Source organism: Homo sapiens, chromosome 2 (genome assembly GCF_000001405.40).
Source record: "Homo sapiens chromosome 2, GRCh38.p14 Primary Assembly".
NCBI lineage: Eukaryota > Metazoa > Chordata > Mammalia > Primates > Hominidae > Homo > Homo sapiens.
Window position 1 is genome coordinate 217,327,844 of NC_000002.12, and position 15,990 is coordinate 217,343,833.

General features: G+C 41.1%; 2 long non-coding RNA genes across 13 annotated transcripts in view, besides 2 other annotated features; one reads left to right on the plus strand and one right to left on the minus strand.

Moving 5' to 3' along the window:
- Nucleotides 1–15,990, plus strand: part of DIRC3-AS1 (DIRC3 antisense RNA 1) — a 61,472-nt gene that overhangs the window by 45,111 nt on the left and 371 nt on the right. Inside the window, exon 5 of the long non-coding RNA NR_133642.1 lies at nt 8,115–8,738. This is a non-coding gene — a long non-coding RNA (DIRC3 antisense RNA 1). The remainder of the gene's footprint in view (nt 1–8,114; nt 8,739–15,990) is intronic.
- DIRC3 (disrupted in renal carcinoma 3) overlaps nt 1–15,990 on the minus strand; it is a 506,425-nt gene that overhangs the window by 43,825 nt on the left and 446,610 nt on the right. For 11 of the 12 annotated variants that reach the window (NR_186298.1, NR_186301.1, NR_186296.1 and 8 more), the window contains one exon: nt 154–309. This is a non-coding gene — a long non-coding RNA (disrupted in renal carcinoma 3). Of the gene's footprint in view, nt 1–153; nt 310–8,330; nt 8,764–15,990 lie in introns of all 12 variants that reach the window. The other variant, NR_186295.1, reaches the window with a different exon arrangement.
- Nucleotides 3,843–4,137: an enhancer, noted in NCBI's record as "tiled region #8768; HepG2 Activating DNase unmatched - State 5:Enh, and K562 Activating non-DNase unmatched - State 24:Quies". NCBI's record gives its function as "activates a minimal TATA promoter and a strong SV40 promoter by Sharpr-MPRA in HepG2 cells, with weaker activity in K562 cells {active_cell/tissue: HepG2 | K562}" and the evidence as "EXISTENCE:reporter gene assay evidence [ECO:0000049][PMID:27701403]".
- Nucleotides 6,521–7,233: an enhancer, noted in NCBI's record as "NANOG-H3K27ac-H3K4me1 hESC enhancer chr2:218199087-218199799 (GRCh37/hg19 assembly coordinates)". NCBI's record gives its function as "activates a minimal SCP1, AML or CMV promoter by ChIP-STARR-seq in naive H9 embryonic stem cells {active_cell/tissue: H9 hESC(naive)}" and the evidence as "EXISTENCE:reporter gene assay evidence [ECO:0000049][PMID:30033119]".

The window sequence follows — 15,990 nt, forward strand, 5'->3', positions numbered from 1 at the left end:
AAGGTTCTCCATAGAAACAGAACAAAAGGAGGGATGGGAAAAGGTAGGGAGAGAGAGATTTTAAGGAACTCCCCATGCAACTGTGCCAGTTGGCAAGTCTGAAATCTGTAGAATAAGTCAGCAGGCTGAACATGCAGGCAAGAGTTACATTACCTTCTTGACTCCGAATTCCACAGGGCAGGCCAGCAGGCGGGAAACTCAAGCAGAATTTCTACATTGCAGGCTTGAGGTAAAATTTTCTTCTTCCAGAAACCTCACTCTTTGTTCTTCAGGCCTTCAAAGGATTGGATGAGACTTACCCACATTAACCTGCATTATTTGAGTAAAGGAATCTGCTTTAGTCAAAGTCTACTGATTTAAATGTTAATCACACCCACAAATACATTCATAGCCACATCCACAGTGGGGTTTGACCAAACAACTAGGCATCATAACCTAACCAAGTTGACACATAAAATTAACCATGACACCATTGTTGTTCGCTCATTAATCTCTCCCAGAAAGAAATATAATTTTCCATCTGGAAACCTATTAGAACTGGGAAGTTAAAATCTCTACAGCCCAATGTGCTACAGGCTTCAGATCCCCTGGGAAAGTTGCAGCCTGGGGTGGGGAAGGAAACATATCAGCTAACATTCAGTTGAATATTTTAATACCACTCTTAGAGTCATAAATCCCAATATGCCTTAGCCCTAAAGCAGATCCCTTAAAGAGACAGAGTAATTCTTAAGGTTTTGGTAATTCAAAATCTATTTTAAATATACAAAAGGAGCTCTTTAATGGGCCCCAAGGTGAATCTTTTCATAAAATAATAAATTAAGTGGGGTTTTTTCCAGTTCGAGGAAACACTCATGTATTTCTAACATCCTACACTAAAATGCCTTGACTTGAATAGCTGTGCATGTGCATGGACATGCATTTATTCATTTCTGTTTTTTCTTAACAGACAAAGAGATGGAATAATTTTATTCAGGTCTGATACACCAGTGTATGCCTGAGCATGTATATGTATATATAACCAGTAACATCTCAGTTATTGGTATGACGGGAAACATTTCTTTCCATGAACATAATTTGTTGGTTATATCAAGACAATCATTCCCACATTTAAATAGTGAAATTGTCCAGGAAAGAAGACTCCATGGTACACAACAGATTCTTAACCAGAAATCTTTAATTTAATAACCAGTTAATTTGTTGTAGAATCCACATGCTTTGACAAGGAGTCCATACAAATAAACCTCTGACAAATCTAAGCTGAATTAATCAGCAGGAAGAAAAGAAAATGCTTTCCTGTAAACTTCGCCCTGATGAAAAAGAGAGGGTGTCAGAAGTCCATGACAAAACCCAGGCACATCCAAAATAAGTTTGATTATAAAAGCAAGAACTCCTTTCTGGTTTTGTACGATGACTGGGGGAGGGTTGGCAAGAACAGGATAAATTATTCAGGTTTAAGAGACAGTGATAAAAATGTAAATGCAATCCTGTCACGGAATCTTTGCACCAGCTGAATAAATTCAAACTAGAAGCTGAATCAGCATCTCGCCTCTGATTAAAACCAATTGAAAGCACAAAGACAGGAAGAAGAAAACCTCATAAGTTCTTTGGAAATGGCAGATAAATTGATCAAGCATAACTGCAACATTAAGATGAAACAGTTTTACTAATATTGACCACAGGCCAAGGGGCCCTGCCAGCTCTCTTCAAATGGTAGCACTTGTAATCAAAGAACTAGGTCTTATTTAAGCTCAAAAGTGATTATTACTTCATTAATTATGGTCATGCCCCTATTCTTTCATTGTGACCACATTTCATCTTTTCCCAAAAGCAGTCCATTAGCCTCATTTCATCTTTAATGGGTAATATGTTCCTTTCTGAGCATGCTTTCTGTGTGCATAGATTCAAGCTGCTGAACAACAGCTCTACATCCCAAGCCGGTGCCCAACATTGGCCCTATACTTGCTTGACACTATGGTCAGAGAGCACAACAAAATAAAAAAAATTTTTTTTCATATCTATTCGAGACAGATCAAGAGATAACATACGAACATGAACAAATGTATTTTTCTTCAACAGCTCAGGGATTAAAAGCTGGGGCTCGGTATCCAGGCTCCCTGGGTTCAAAGACAGGCATGCACCTCACAAGAAGTCAGGGGCTGGGCAGCCTTTCTTCTCTCTAACACAGGGATAACAACAGGGTTTGTGGCAAGGATTTAATTAATGGAAAGAGCCTGGGATGTGTCTGGCACATAATAAGTGCTCAATAAATGTTAGTTCTTATTAACATTGTGTTTACATTAAACATATGCCACTGTCACCGGTAGAGGGTTGTGACTTCAACTTGTCCAGGTTCTTGGCATTTTAAACAAAGAACTGGACAAAATGCCCAGCAAAGCAAAGAAAGAATGAAGCAACAAAAGAACGAAAGCAGGGATTTATCGAAAACGAAAGTACACTCCACAGTGTGGAAGCGGACCCATGCAGTGGCTCAAGGGCCCAGACACAGAAATCTTCTTGGGTCCAAATACCCCCTAGAAGTTTCCCATTGGCCACTTCATGCTCACCTGAAGTAAATGAAGCGGTAGCCGGCAATCACTCTGATTGGCTGCAGAAAGCAGCCAACCAGAGACTGAAATGAAGTTACAAAGGTCACACTCCTGTGCAAACATCCGATTGGTTGCAAAAAACAACCAATCAGAGGCTAAGGTGAAGTTACAAAGTTATATTTCTATGCGAAAAAAGACTAGACCTGCAATCAGTCTGATTTGTGGTGGACAGCCAATTTCTCATCTGCCCGGCAGAAAAGGTCAAAGGGAGTAGCCTCTGGTCCTTTTGTTACTTAGGCGTGGAAAGTTAGGGTTTTCAAGTTAGTTCTAGGAAGTCAGCGTGAAACAGCCTTAGGTTCCCTGCCTCCAGACACTGTTCTCCTGCCTCATCACCCACTTAGGAGTTAGACAATTCGGTTGAGTGCTTAAGGAAAAAGTCACCAGGCAGTCCATCCAGCCACCCCTGCGCATCTACTCAACAGCGCGGCCTGGTGTGTCCACTTATACGCACACACAGAATGCCATAAGAAGTGGACTGCTGTGCACAGTCTCTCCCGATTTGGCTATAAGCCCTTAGGATTCATTTCAACGTCATAGTGTAGTGAAAATTATAGAATTCTATCAATATCAGGTAATAAAGTTGCTTAATGAGCCTATTCACAAATATCCGCTGAGTAGTCCCCATATGCCCAGAACTATGCCATGCATGAAAGGGCACAAAAGATCTGGAAAAGGCTGTAAAGCCTTCCAGATGTTAACAACTATTTAGGGAGAAAAAGGCTTATCCTGAATTACTAAAAGATTTAGCTAGTATGTGAATTATGTCATTATAGACAGTGATACAATAAAGCAACATAGCATAATGTGCTATTCACAGGTCTAGAACTTTCTGAAAAGGAGAATGAGAGGTGAGGAAGCTCTCGAGGGGCCCATGTGTTGGGGGTGGTGGATATGTACACACACACACACACACACACACACACACACTCACCCTGTCCTGCCACCATTAGGTAAAGTTTCCTGCCACTCCTTGCACATCCGTCATTACCAAAGAGATATTAAACTAGACAACTGTAAAAAAATAACACCTTCAGTGGCAAAACTGCCTTATGCAGAGATGTGGATGATTTGTTACCTACTTCATCGTTGCATGTGGCTCAGGGGAGTTTTCTCAGCGATTAGCAGGGGCACTGGCAGAAGACAATAGGCCTAGGAACTTCCCTGGCTGCCCTCACCATTGCACCAACCCCAAACCCCCCTGAGGACATCTTGCAGACCAGTAACCTGCTAACTCTCATTCCTCTCATTCCTTTCTTGCTGTTTTTCCTGGCTAGCTCCAGAGCCAGCAGAAGAAGGTCAACGTCACTCTTAAACTATGTCAAACAGTGTTGTAGTTCAGGAGTGGAGGTGAACTGTTTACACATGGTCTTTGTTTCCTCTAGCCAGGATTTCATTGCTGATCCTGCCCTCTAAGGTCATACCAGAGGGCACAGAATGGGCCTCCCAGCCTACATGCTGCTGTGACTGTCTGTCTGAGGGAAGGATCAGATTTAGGCCTGGACATGTTGCTTTTGTTGTTGTTGTTATTGTTGTTTAAACCAATTTATTGGCAAGTCAGTGACATAAGGGCTTCAGGGAAGTTCCTACATATCTTCCTCCTCCATCACTCCTCAGCAGTCCTCTTTGCCTCTTCAATCAGCTTGTCCTCTTTGCCTCTTCAGTCAGCTTGTCCTCTTTGCCTCTTTAATCAGCTTGTCCTCTTTGCCTAAACATTTCTGCTTTAGAAGGGCAAACTGTCCAGCTGATTCTTGAGCCACAGTTTTCAATTACAATGTGTGATGGGGTGCTTCCTTCTTTTGTGTGAAATTCCTATTGTGAGTGACCTCCCCTTTGAATGAATTAGGTCACAAACTGTAATGGCCCTTTTTTTTCTGGTACTGCAAGCCCATTTATTTTTATTTTAAGAGACAGGGACTTGCTCTGTTACCCAGGCTGGAATTCAGTGATGTGATCATAGCTCACTGCAGCCTCCAACTCCTGGGCTCAATCAATCCTCCTTTCTCAGGCTCCCAAGTATATAAAACTACAGGTGTGTGGGTATTTTTTTAAAAAATTATTTGTAGAGACAGGGTCTTGCTATGTTGCCCAGGTGGGTCTCAAACTCCTGGCCTCAAGAGATCTTCTCACCTCAGCCTCCCAAAGTGCCAGGATTACAGACATGAGACACCGTGCCCCGCCCTGAAAGCCCATTTTGAACCCAAGGCACTGTGTTGGAAATTGGATGAAGATTTTTAAAAAATAAGTCACATGTAGTTCTTGCTTTCATATTGATAACAATTTAGTATTGCTATGAAGTTGAGCAGGAAGTGAAGGCAAAAATATTGATATTCTTGTCAAGCACATCCATGTGAAGAGACCACCAACAGGCTTTGTGTGAGCAACAAGGCTGTTTATTTCACTCGGGTGCAAGTGGGCTGAGTCCGAAAAGAGAGTCCGTGAAGGAGTGGGGAAGGGATTGCTTTATAGGAGTTGGGTGGGTAATGGAAAATTACAGTAAAAGGTGGTTATCTATTGCTGGCGGAGGAGGGGGGTCACAAGGCACATGGTGCGGAGATCATAAAAGACTCATTGTCCAGAAGAAGAATGTCATGAGGTCGATCGATTGATCAGTTGGGGCAGGGCAGGAACAAGTCATAATGGAATGTCTTAAGGTTGGTCAATCAGTTAAGACAGGAGCTGGCTGTTTCACTTCTTTTGTTGTTTTCGATTGCCTCAGGCCATTTGGATGCATACGTGCAGGCTTGGGCTCAGAGGCCTGACAATTCTAATATAAGGCGGAAGCCCAGATGAATAATACAGGAAAAGTTCTGGAAAGTTGTAGGCACAGGGAATAGCAGGAGCTAAATATTGAGGATGGAGAGGCCAGGTTGTTTGCAGGCCAGTGAGCAGATCATCTGGTGGAATTGTATGGTCACAGGCCATCCAAAAGCCCTTTCTGAGATGAAGCAGAGAACTTCAGAGAACAGCTGCCAACTGTCTTGCTCTTAGAACTTCAAAACTTGCCCTCTCTTGCATACCACATCCAATTTGGAGCCTACTTCCTATTAGTTTATTGAAATGCAAAATGCATACTAAAACCCTTAGCAGTAGTCTCAGACATTGAGCCCTTGTGGTTTTTAAAATCAGAGAATCATTACTTGGGAGTGGGAGATGCATGAACTATTTGCTCCTGGAAAGTGACATACTGAGGTTACTTGGCAGATGAGTCTCACACAGAATAGCCTGCTTGCTTTTGCCAATTTGTTAATATTAAAAACTGGAAAACTATGTAACTACTAAAAATATCAAGTAGAATGGGCTCCTTTAAAAACCTAGGAGCACTGGACTCTTCAAACAAAGGCCAAATAATTGTTTGTAAAAAGAATCCTGTGAAAGAGACACTGTGCTAGGTGGGCAAGTGGATCACCCTCCCATGTTTCAAATCATGCTGTGGCCCAGAAAACTATATTCCATAATATGAATGACAGGAATGAAGAGAAGAAGCAAGGCAAGAAAGGGAAGAGGTGAATAGTTACTGGAGAACAGAGGGAGGAAGCAAGGAAGAATGCAAAAGAAAGAAGAAATTGCACTTGCAGCATGTGGATCAGTATTTGGAAACTGTTCAATCAGATTAATTCCAAATTCTAGGACTATATATCATGAATCTCTCTCTCTCTTTTTTTTTTTTTTTTTTTTTTTTTTTTGAGACAGAATCTTGCTATGTTGCCCAGGCTAGAGTGCAGTGGTGCTACCTCAGCTCCCTGCAAATTCTGCCTCCCAGGTTCAAGCGATTCTCCTATCTCAGCCTCCCAAGTAGCTGGGATTACAGGCATGCGCCACCACCATGCCCAGCTAATTTTTGTATGTTTAGTAGAGACGAGGTTTCACCATGTTGGCCAGGCTGTTCTCAAACTCCTGACCTCAGGTGATCTGCCTGCCTCGGCATCCCAAATTGCTGGGATTACAGGCGTGAGCCACCACACCCGGCCTGTATTATGAATCTCTTAAGTGAGCTCTTTAGCTTAGGGACAAAAGTATATACATTTTCATTTTGATCATGAATGTTATGAGAGATTAAATTGGACTACCTACCTGGTTAGAAGGAGGAGGTTGGGGTCAGGTTTGGGATGAGTGTATATCACCAGTGATTTCCAAATACTACAACATAGTGATCCCTTGCTGGGGCTCTGGGTTGCAGTGTCTGGTATCATTACTCCACCCTGCATTTAAGCATGGGCTTGGAACCATGTGGAGGGAACAAAAGATCTGGAAGGATTCTGCCTTTTTACACCAAATGGCTTTGTGATCTTTCCCTTTGTAATGAAAACCAAACCAGTCAGATTAAAACTATCAGCCCATTGAATGAGATAATCTATGTGAAGTAAACAGAAGTCACTGTGTCCTAGCAAGGTATCATTATGCAAATGGAGGTATAATGCAAGGTTCCTAACACCAGTGGTCTGAATGTGCTCCAGGGTCTCTGTCATCTTTAAACACATGTTCCCTTACATGTGGATATGTAGGGTAGATACAAACTGAGAATGGAAAATTTCCCAGACCCTAAGATCTAGGCAAGTACAGTGTGGTCAGTGGAAATTAGATGTAGATGCAAGAGTGAAAAATAAAAGATTCTGAATTCTGCTTTACAGAATTTGGAGCTGTTCTGGGGCTTTCACTGAAAGGAGAGAGGTGGCTGGGTTGTAATTCCTAGCATGCATCATTCAGTACGAGGGAGGTTGTGCTTCGGTGACAGTCCTGTCCTCCCAAATATCAGTGGCCTAAAACAAAGATTTATTTCTCACTTGTACTATACATCCCTTGTGGCTTGGCTGTAGGTTTTGTGCTGTATCACCCTCACTGAAGGATCTAGCCCAATGAGGCAGTCCCTGCCTGGTCATTATCGGCAAAAGGAAAGAGATCTTTGAATGGTTTTGTACCAGCAATTTAATATGATAGTATGGTAGTAACACGCATCACTTTTACTCACAACTCATTGGCCAACACTAGTTATCTGGTACCAGCTCAGTCTGAAGAAGGCGAGCAAGAAATGCAGTCCCACCGTGAACCCAGAAGGCAGAAAGCCAGAAATATCTAATCAACTGCATTCATAACAACCACATGACACATCATTGTATTTGAATAAAATTGCACTGGTCTACCTGGGTAAAAGGTATGTGAATGCTCAGATGCTATGGCTGAGTCTGCCATGGCCTTTGTTATTTATTTTAATGACATTGATAATTACTTTATTGATAGTATGATCATTAATTTTAATGACATTAGGTAGTCATTAACTTTTTCTAAAGCCATTCAGGAACACTGTAACAACTAGAGGCCACAGGGCAACTTCTTTAGTACAGGAGTGAACGTGAGTCACAGTGTTGTCACTGAGGTCATCTTTGCACTGAAGGTTAGAAACTCAAAACAAAGCTCAATGTGAAGTGACACTCAGAGTATACACTTGCCTCCTTGCTTAGTATAAATCACTTAACATTTCTAAATACGTGTTTTTTGCCATGTGCTTGATAGGCAATGGAAATAATGAACAAAATTCTCTCAAGCAAGATTGGCCCTATGAACAAGTGAAGATGGTGGGCGATTTCAGCTGCTTCAGAATCACTCTACCTGTCTCAAGGACAAAGGGAAGAAACCCACAATACTAGATGTATTATATATTTTCTAGAGTCCAAAAGTGGTGTGGCTCAGTACATAATGTCTGTGGATCTGATACTTGAAACAACTTACATCCCACGGCACTGTTGTTCACCTCAGTGGATGCGGGACCTCTCACTGCTGGCCGGCCTCCTGAATTGTTCTGTTTCCAGAGTGTCTTCTGCAAGGCCTTTCCCCACAGGTTGCTGGAGACTTTATCACTGTTGCAGGAGGCCCAGCGGCTTCGCCCCAGAGGCCACCAGTGCCACCCAGGTAAGGCAGTGCTACTTCTGAAGTGCTGAACATTGCTGCTTCCGCTGGGCATTGCAGCTGCACCGCTGCGGCCGTCCATCTGTACACATCTGTCTGTCCAGCTGCGCCATGGAGCCCAAGACGTCATTCAAAGATCGCAACACCAAGAGTGCTCTTCCTGGGAGCTGCTACTCCTCAGCCACTGCTCACCATCCCTCTCCATTTGAGCTTTCCGAGAAGTTTGATGAGGTAGAGGAGAATATGATTCCATACCCTTTGTGTGGGGGCAGGAGAGGGGTCCATGGCAGTGAAAGTTGGGTGACAAATAATATAGTGTTTAGTTAAACTGTTCTATAAGCATTTAGTGACAGTCCTCTCACTCCTAACAACCCACGCCTGAGTGAGTAGAAGCTGTGACCACTGTTGACTGAATATAAATTACCAAAATATCAGAATCACTCCTCACTCTCCAGCCATTGTTTTGTTATGAGTTACTTTAATTTATGTAATGTATACAATGTGCTGAGAGCATTGGTAGGTACATAGTAGTCCCTACACAAATATTTTGTTGTGGTTGTTGCTAAGCATTCAAGTCCTTCCTTGAGAAGCAGGTATCTCTTAAAAACTCCTAAGGGTCATTGCAACCAACTTCTCAAAGATCGTCAAACAATCCCAACTATGTCTGAATCTCTTCTAAAACTCATACCCACACAACGATTCTGCTAGCCAGAAACTGTTCACTTCACGTTATTCATAAGAAAACTAAAGCTCAGAGAGGTTAAGCAACTTCCTCAAGGTCACAGAGTAACAAGTGATGGAACCAGGATTCAAACTCAGGACTGCCTGATTTTGAACCCATTTATACTATGGATAGAATAGAGGGTTAGAGCAGTGAATCTCAACCAAGGGTGATTTTACCCCATCAGGGGACATTTGGCAATCTCTGGAGACATTTTCATTCGTCACTGCTTAGGGAGAGGGAAGTAGTACTGGCATCTAATGGGTAGAGGCCAGAAATGCCACTAAATGTCCTGCAATGCACAGGACAGGCCTCTCCCTCTCTCCCTACAACGCCCCCCAACAAAAGGTATCAGGTTCAAATGTCAACTGTGCTGAGGTTAAGAAACCCAGGATTGGAGGAACATATTAATACATTAAATTGCTAGGAAAGAAAAATCCAGGGACAGCAGGAAGAACATATTGAAAAAATACATTCATGATTACGGGTTGAAGTAGGATTTTGGTAAGCAGAGGTAGAAGGCAAGAATAGTAGAGAGAACAGCATGAACAAAGAAGGAGAAGAAATATAAGAGATATTTGCAGGAAACTAAAAGTCCAGGAGCAGGGAAGAAGTGGAAGTAGAAATTGAAAAGCTACATTGAGACTTAATTTGGGGAGGCCTGGAATGCAAAGAATTTAAGTGTAGAGAGCCTGGAACAAAATTTCTCAAAGTATTTGTCTTGAGCTCACCACGCTCACCAAGTAACATGAGGGTCTGTAAAAAAAAAAAAAAAAAATTCTTTTTTTAAATCCAAGCATTCTGCATCAATGCAATGGATATATGGCCTTAGACAATTTCAGTCCTCTCCCATCACTTGAAGAAGGAAAAACTGGGGCCCAGGGTATGAGGTCACTTCCCCATGGTCACTGGTGACTTAGTGACTGGGCTGGAACTGAAACCAAATCTTGGGATTAGATCCAGTGTTTATGATATATAGTTTGGTCCCTGGGATCTCAAAAGCACAGCCAGTTTTTTCTCCCTTTTATGATTCTTCTTGTATTTGTATAGAGAAGATTATCGGTGAATCGTCTTCATTATTTCCCTATTCCTACTTGAAGTGCCCAAAATGTGCAAGGCCAAATATTGTGGCACAAGCCAAATAGCATTTTTCTACTAAAAAAGAAAAACGCTGTTGAGGAAAGAGGGTCGGAATAAATGGAAGGGCTATTATTTTGCCCTTGGAGGCATTTTCTGAGAATCAAGGTTGAGGCCTGACAGGTATTTCCCATTTCAGCTTTGCATGTGGGCCCAACTTGAATGAAGAATTGAGATTTGGCTAAAGAGGCAAGTAACATAATCCTAAAAAGAATCCCAGGGATGGATCCAGGCGAGGCAGCTTGTACACAGAGCCAGGCGTCTTTGACCCACAGAACATTTCACAACCTGAGAGCTTCGTTTTGGAATTTTTGTATTTATTCCTCTCAATTGGGCAAAAAAAAAAAAAAAAAAGAAAGAAAAATTACATTCCCACTGCAACATAAAGGTTATTTATTTCCAAACAAAAGAATTAGGAAATGTGAACTTTAAGGCTTTGAGACTAACATTAACTCATCGGCAACAGACAGATGGTATTTTGTATCTTCAATGAAGAGGCTGTTAAATGTGAACTTAATACATCTGGGATGAGTCATCAGGGTGAGCTAATTTGCTAAAACCTTAGCTTTTGCATTTCCTGATTAGATTTTTTTTCTCTTTTCATCTTTCAATCTGGCATCTTCATCCCTAACAATTTTCCATTTAACACAAGGGAAATACTTTGAATTTTCCTTTATTTGTAGTTTCACCAGGGTCATTCTAGGGCATTTTCCTCAGGCTTAGTTTAAAATTGTGATGAAACAATTTAGAAAAAAGACTTTAATATGGATATGTCATTTAATATGAAGGTATCAAGTTATTTAAGAGGGACATTATATATAATATTATGTATATATTTATATACTACATATACATGAATATATTTTATATATTTATTTATTTTCCCCCTTTCCAATGATCTTCTATTGGTAGTACTTCCTTCCACATTTGCTTATTTCTGCTAAGTGCTTATGTGACTCCCATGTATAATTTTTTCAGATTGACGAGATAGGATTTTGGTTTTGCCCTTTTTTCCTCAAAGTGTCCCTTTAGTGTGCTGGATCTCTTATTAAGTCTATGAGATAGAAATCCTCGCTGTCATGTATGTATTCAATAGATGTTTCCTAAATGTCTCATATGTATGCCTCCCCTTAATAATTCCCATGATGTTTAGGAAGCTGTGATGGTGCAGTACATCACCAGGAAGAAAATGTTATTATTAGACACCTACAGAAAACACGTTGCTCCAGACTGTGGTCCAAAGTGTTTGTTGGCTTTTCTTATTGAGTTATCTATTAGTCTGTACAGAATCCACCCCCAGGGGACATGGTAAAATCCATCTTTCTTTCTCTAAGGATCCCTCACTCTCTTCTGCAACTCTGTTCTTCCCCAACAGTCCTGGCTTTGCCCTGGAAGCGGGGTTTGTCAGATCCTTCCGGGGAAACTTTTACTGCATCAGTGAGTGTTTCTTTTGCTAATACTTGTTGAGAATTTAGAGGTGATAATTCATCTCATCTCTCTCATTACCACCACCACTTCAACTTTGGAATCAAGGAGTCAGATAATAGGAAAATCAAAATATCAGCATTATGGCAAATAAATCCATTTTTGAAACTATTGGTGTGGGCCCATGGCCAGAAAGGAATTCTCAATTCCCAGATTTAGACCTTGGGGCCTCTTCTCAAGGGAGTGAGAGAGTCTGCAGAGAAGCCTCTCTAACCCAGAGTCCCTCTCTCATATCCATTAGGCTACAGGAGTCAGGAAAGAAGAAGTCAGTGCTCTAAAGAGCCTCCAGGAAGTACGTAAAACTGACCCCTAACCTCCATGAGCTCAGTAGGGAAGAAAGGACAAGGGCAGATGTAGGAAAACAACAACTCAGATGGGACTGAGCCACAGGTTTCTAAACCTTGAAACCCAATCGCACAAACACGATGGGGTGGGCAAAGAGAGGCGCGTTCTTCCCAACTTTTTCTTGCTGGGTAGAGTAGTGGAAATCTTCTCCCTTTCTGAAAACATGAAGAATACAGAAGGTCTCCTCTAACACTCTCAAGATTCTGTTTTCTTAAACTATTAGGTTGTAATTAGACTAGTGGTCTACCAGGGCTTAGGCTGTTCCCTTGGGTAGTCTCAGGGCAGTCCTACTCCTGCCTTTGTGAGGTTTCTCTCTCCATGTCAACCCCCTCTTCCTTGTGTATACTGTCTGGATCATGGTGTACAGTTTAATCTTTGCCCTGGTAAACTCTAATACTTAAAACTCTTAATACTTAGACAAGTATTTACCTAAGTATTAAGTAAATACTCTAGGCTTGAAATGTATTCCTTATTCTATATATTATCTCAGATTGTCACTGGCCAAGATGCCCAATAGAATTCATCAGAAGTTATACACCACACCCAAATAATACCAATACAACCTAAAATACAATGTCAGTGCAATAAGAATAACTCAAGTTTGAATTTGAACTATCTCCTAATATTAAACTCCCAGAGAGCAATCAAGTCCAAAATTCAAATCCCTTTTAGTATTATAATCTAAAGAAATTAAAGGCCAACATTCTTAAAGACTACAAAAATTAAAGCCATATCTTCTCCATTTGTAAAAAAATATTGCTTAGTCTCACACATAAGGATCTTTAGATTCCTTAATAGAGTGTGGCTTCTGCATTTATAGCCTCTCACTGAAATAAGGGTGGTTCCTTTAGGATCTCCACAGTTGGATTAATCAAAGCCATGTTCATTGCACCTCTAATCACAATAGCTAAGATAAGGAAACTTCCTAAGTGTTTTCTGATAGATGAATGGATAGTTATACACACACACTATATATATATACACACACACACAATGGAATAATATTTAGTCTTTTTCAAAAATTTTTAATTATTTTTAAAATTTTATTTAATTAATTAATTAATTTATTTATTTATTTATATTTTTAGAGACAAGGTCTCATTCTGTAGCCCAGGCTGAAGTGCAGTGTTGTGATCATAGCTCACTGCAGCCTCGAACTCCTTGTCTCAAGCAATCCCCAGCTCAGCCTCCCAAAATGCTGGGATTACACATGTGGGCCACCTCACCCAACCCTATTTAATCTTAAGAAGGAAGAAAATCCTACCATTGGCAAAAATATAAATAAACCTGGGGGACATTATGCTATGTAAAATCAGCCAGACATGGAAGGAAAAATACTATATGATCTCACTTATCTGTGGAAGTAGAAAAGTTGAAATCACAGAAACAGAGAGTGGAATGGTGGTTACCAGGCATGTTAGTCAAAGGGTAGAAAATTTCGGATGTGCAGGATGAGTAACTTCTGGAGATCTAATGTCAGCAATGGGGGCTATAGTTAATAATACTGTATTGTATACTTGAAATTTGCTAAGAGAGTAGATCCTAAGTATTCTCACCACACACACAAAAGAAAGTAATTATGGGAAGAGATGGACATGTTAATTAGCTTGACTGTAGTATTTGGTATATTATGTGTATGTATACCAAAAATATCACATTGCACACCTTAAATATATAAAATTTTCATAAAAATAAAAATTAAATTAAACATTTTAAAAAGCCAAGTTTTCAAGTATCCCAATTTCTAAAGTGTAAGTAAAGTTAGTAGAGGCCAGGCAAAGTGGCTCACACCTGTAATACCAGCATTTTGGGAAGCCAAGGCATGAGGATCACTTGAGGTGAGGAGTTTGGGGCCAGCCTGGACAACATAGCAAGACCCCATCTCTACAAAAATTTTTTAAAAAATTAACCAGGCATGGTGGCAGGTGCCTGTAGTCCTAGATACTAGGAAGGTTATGGCAGGAGAATCACTTGAGCCCAGGAGTTGGAGGCTGCAGTGAGCTATCATCACGCCACTGCACTCCAACCTGGGCAACAAAGTGAGACCCTGTCTCTTAGAAAAGAAATTTAAAAAAAAGAGAAAAAGAGAGAGAGAAGGAAAGAAAAAGAAAGAAAGAAAGGAAGGAAGGAAGGAAGAGAGAAAGAAAGAAAGAGAGAGAAAGAGAGAGAGAAAGAGAGGGAGGGAGGGAGGGAGGACGGAAGGAAGGAAGGAAGGAAGGGAAAGAAGAATAGAAATGGAATTATCACAGCATATATCAAGGGACTCACAACACAAGGAAAACCCCTAGCTCTAGAGCAGGTATGCAAATGCGTACATAAGTACATACACGCAGATGTACATATATTTCTCAGAACCCAGTTTTTACTAAAATCTAGATGTATGTTATTCTTTCTGAAGATCAGAATAATGACAGACGAAGTCCAGAGGGTAGAGTAGCCAAAACAACTTGATTTACCTAAAAATCATTTGTAACTAACTTCTCACTTGCCTTCCTCTGTAAAAGAAGCTAGATAGCTAACTACTGGATTCTCCAGCCTGTATCATCCACATGACACGAATCTGGCCAACACAGTGTAAGTAAAAGTCAAATAGTCAAAGCCTCAAGGATAAGATTTTGACCCTCAGGCTTTTTGAGGCTTAGAATCTAGATGTGGAGCCTGGAGATGCAGCAGCCACCCTGTGACTAGAAAGGCAAAACCATATGCTGAAAATGAAGGAGCTGAAAATAAGAGAAAGAGCCTGGATTCCTGATGGAGCCCAGAGTTATTGCCCTAGTGTGCCCACTTCTGGATTCCTTGCTTATGTGAGGAAAGTAAATCTTTATATCATTAAGAAATAAATGAGGCTGGGCGCAGTGGTGCACACCTGTAATCCCAGCACTTTGGGAGGCTGAGGTGGGTGGATCACCTGAGGTCAGAAGTTCTCGACCAGCCTGACTAACATAGTGAAACCCTGTCTCTACTAAATACAAAAAAATTAGCCGGGCTTGGTGGCACATGCCTGTAATCTGAGCTACTTGGGAGGCTGAGACAGGAGAATCACTTGTACCTGGGAGGCAGAGGTTGCAGTGAGCCAAGATCGGGCCATTGCACTCCAGCCTGGGCAACAAGAGTGAAACTCCATCTCAAAAAAAAAAAAAAAAAGATTTCTGTGATTTCTGTGATGTGTAGGTAAACACACTTCTAAATGATTCAAAGAAAATTCCAGTTCCAGCTTTACCACCATACAGGTCAGTCTGTGATGGTTGCCCAACGCCAACAATCCATAACAATTAGGAGAAATATCCCATTGGTAGGTGATTTTTCCCATCCATAGGGGAACCATCCACCAATGAATATAATTAGAAATTAAACTGATGACATTACACTCACCAGACCTCACTTGAAATGTCCTTGTTTCCCACAGAGCCCCTTAATTTTTTTTTTTTTTTTGAGCTTCATGATCCTGCCTCCCTTCTCCCTGCCCCTCCCTGGAAGTACTGAACTATTAGAGCTATTCCCCAGGCTTGATCAATCCTGACTCTACGAATAATTTTGATGCATGATTATGCAAACAACAACTAAGGCTGACCAAAGACCACCTTCAGGAAATAGCAAAGCCAGAAAAAAAGAGAAGGCAAGGTAAAAACTAATATCCTCTCACAAGTGCCAGGTACTGTATCTGGGCCTTTGGTGCCACTCCAACCTTTGCCAGGTGCAGATGGTAAGGGGCTCACAGCTAATCGTCTGGACACAGCACATTCACCTATAATGATGATGCATCTTTGGCTGTGGCAAGAGACACATGAGAAATAT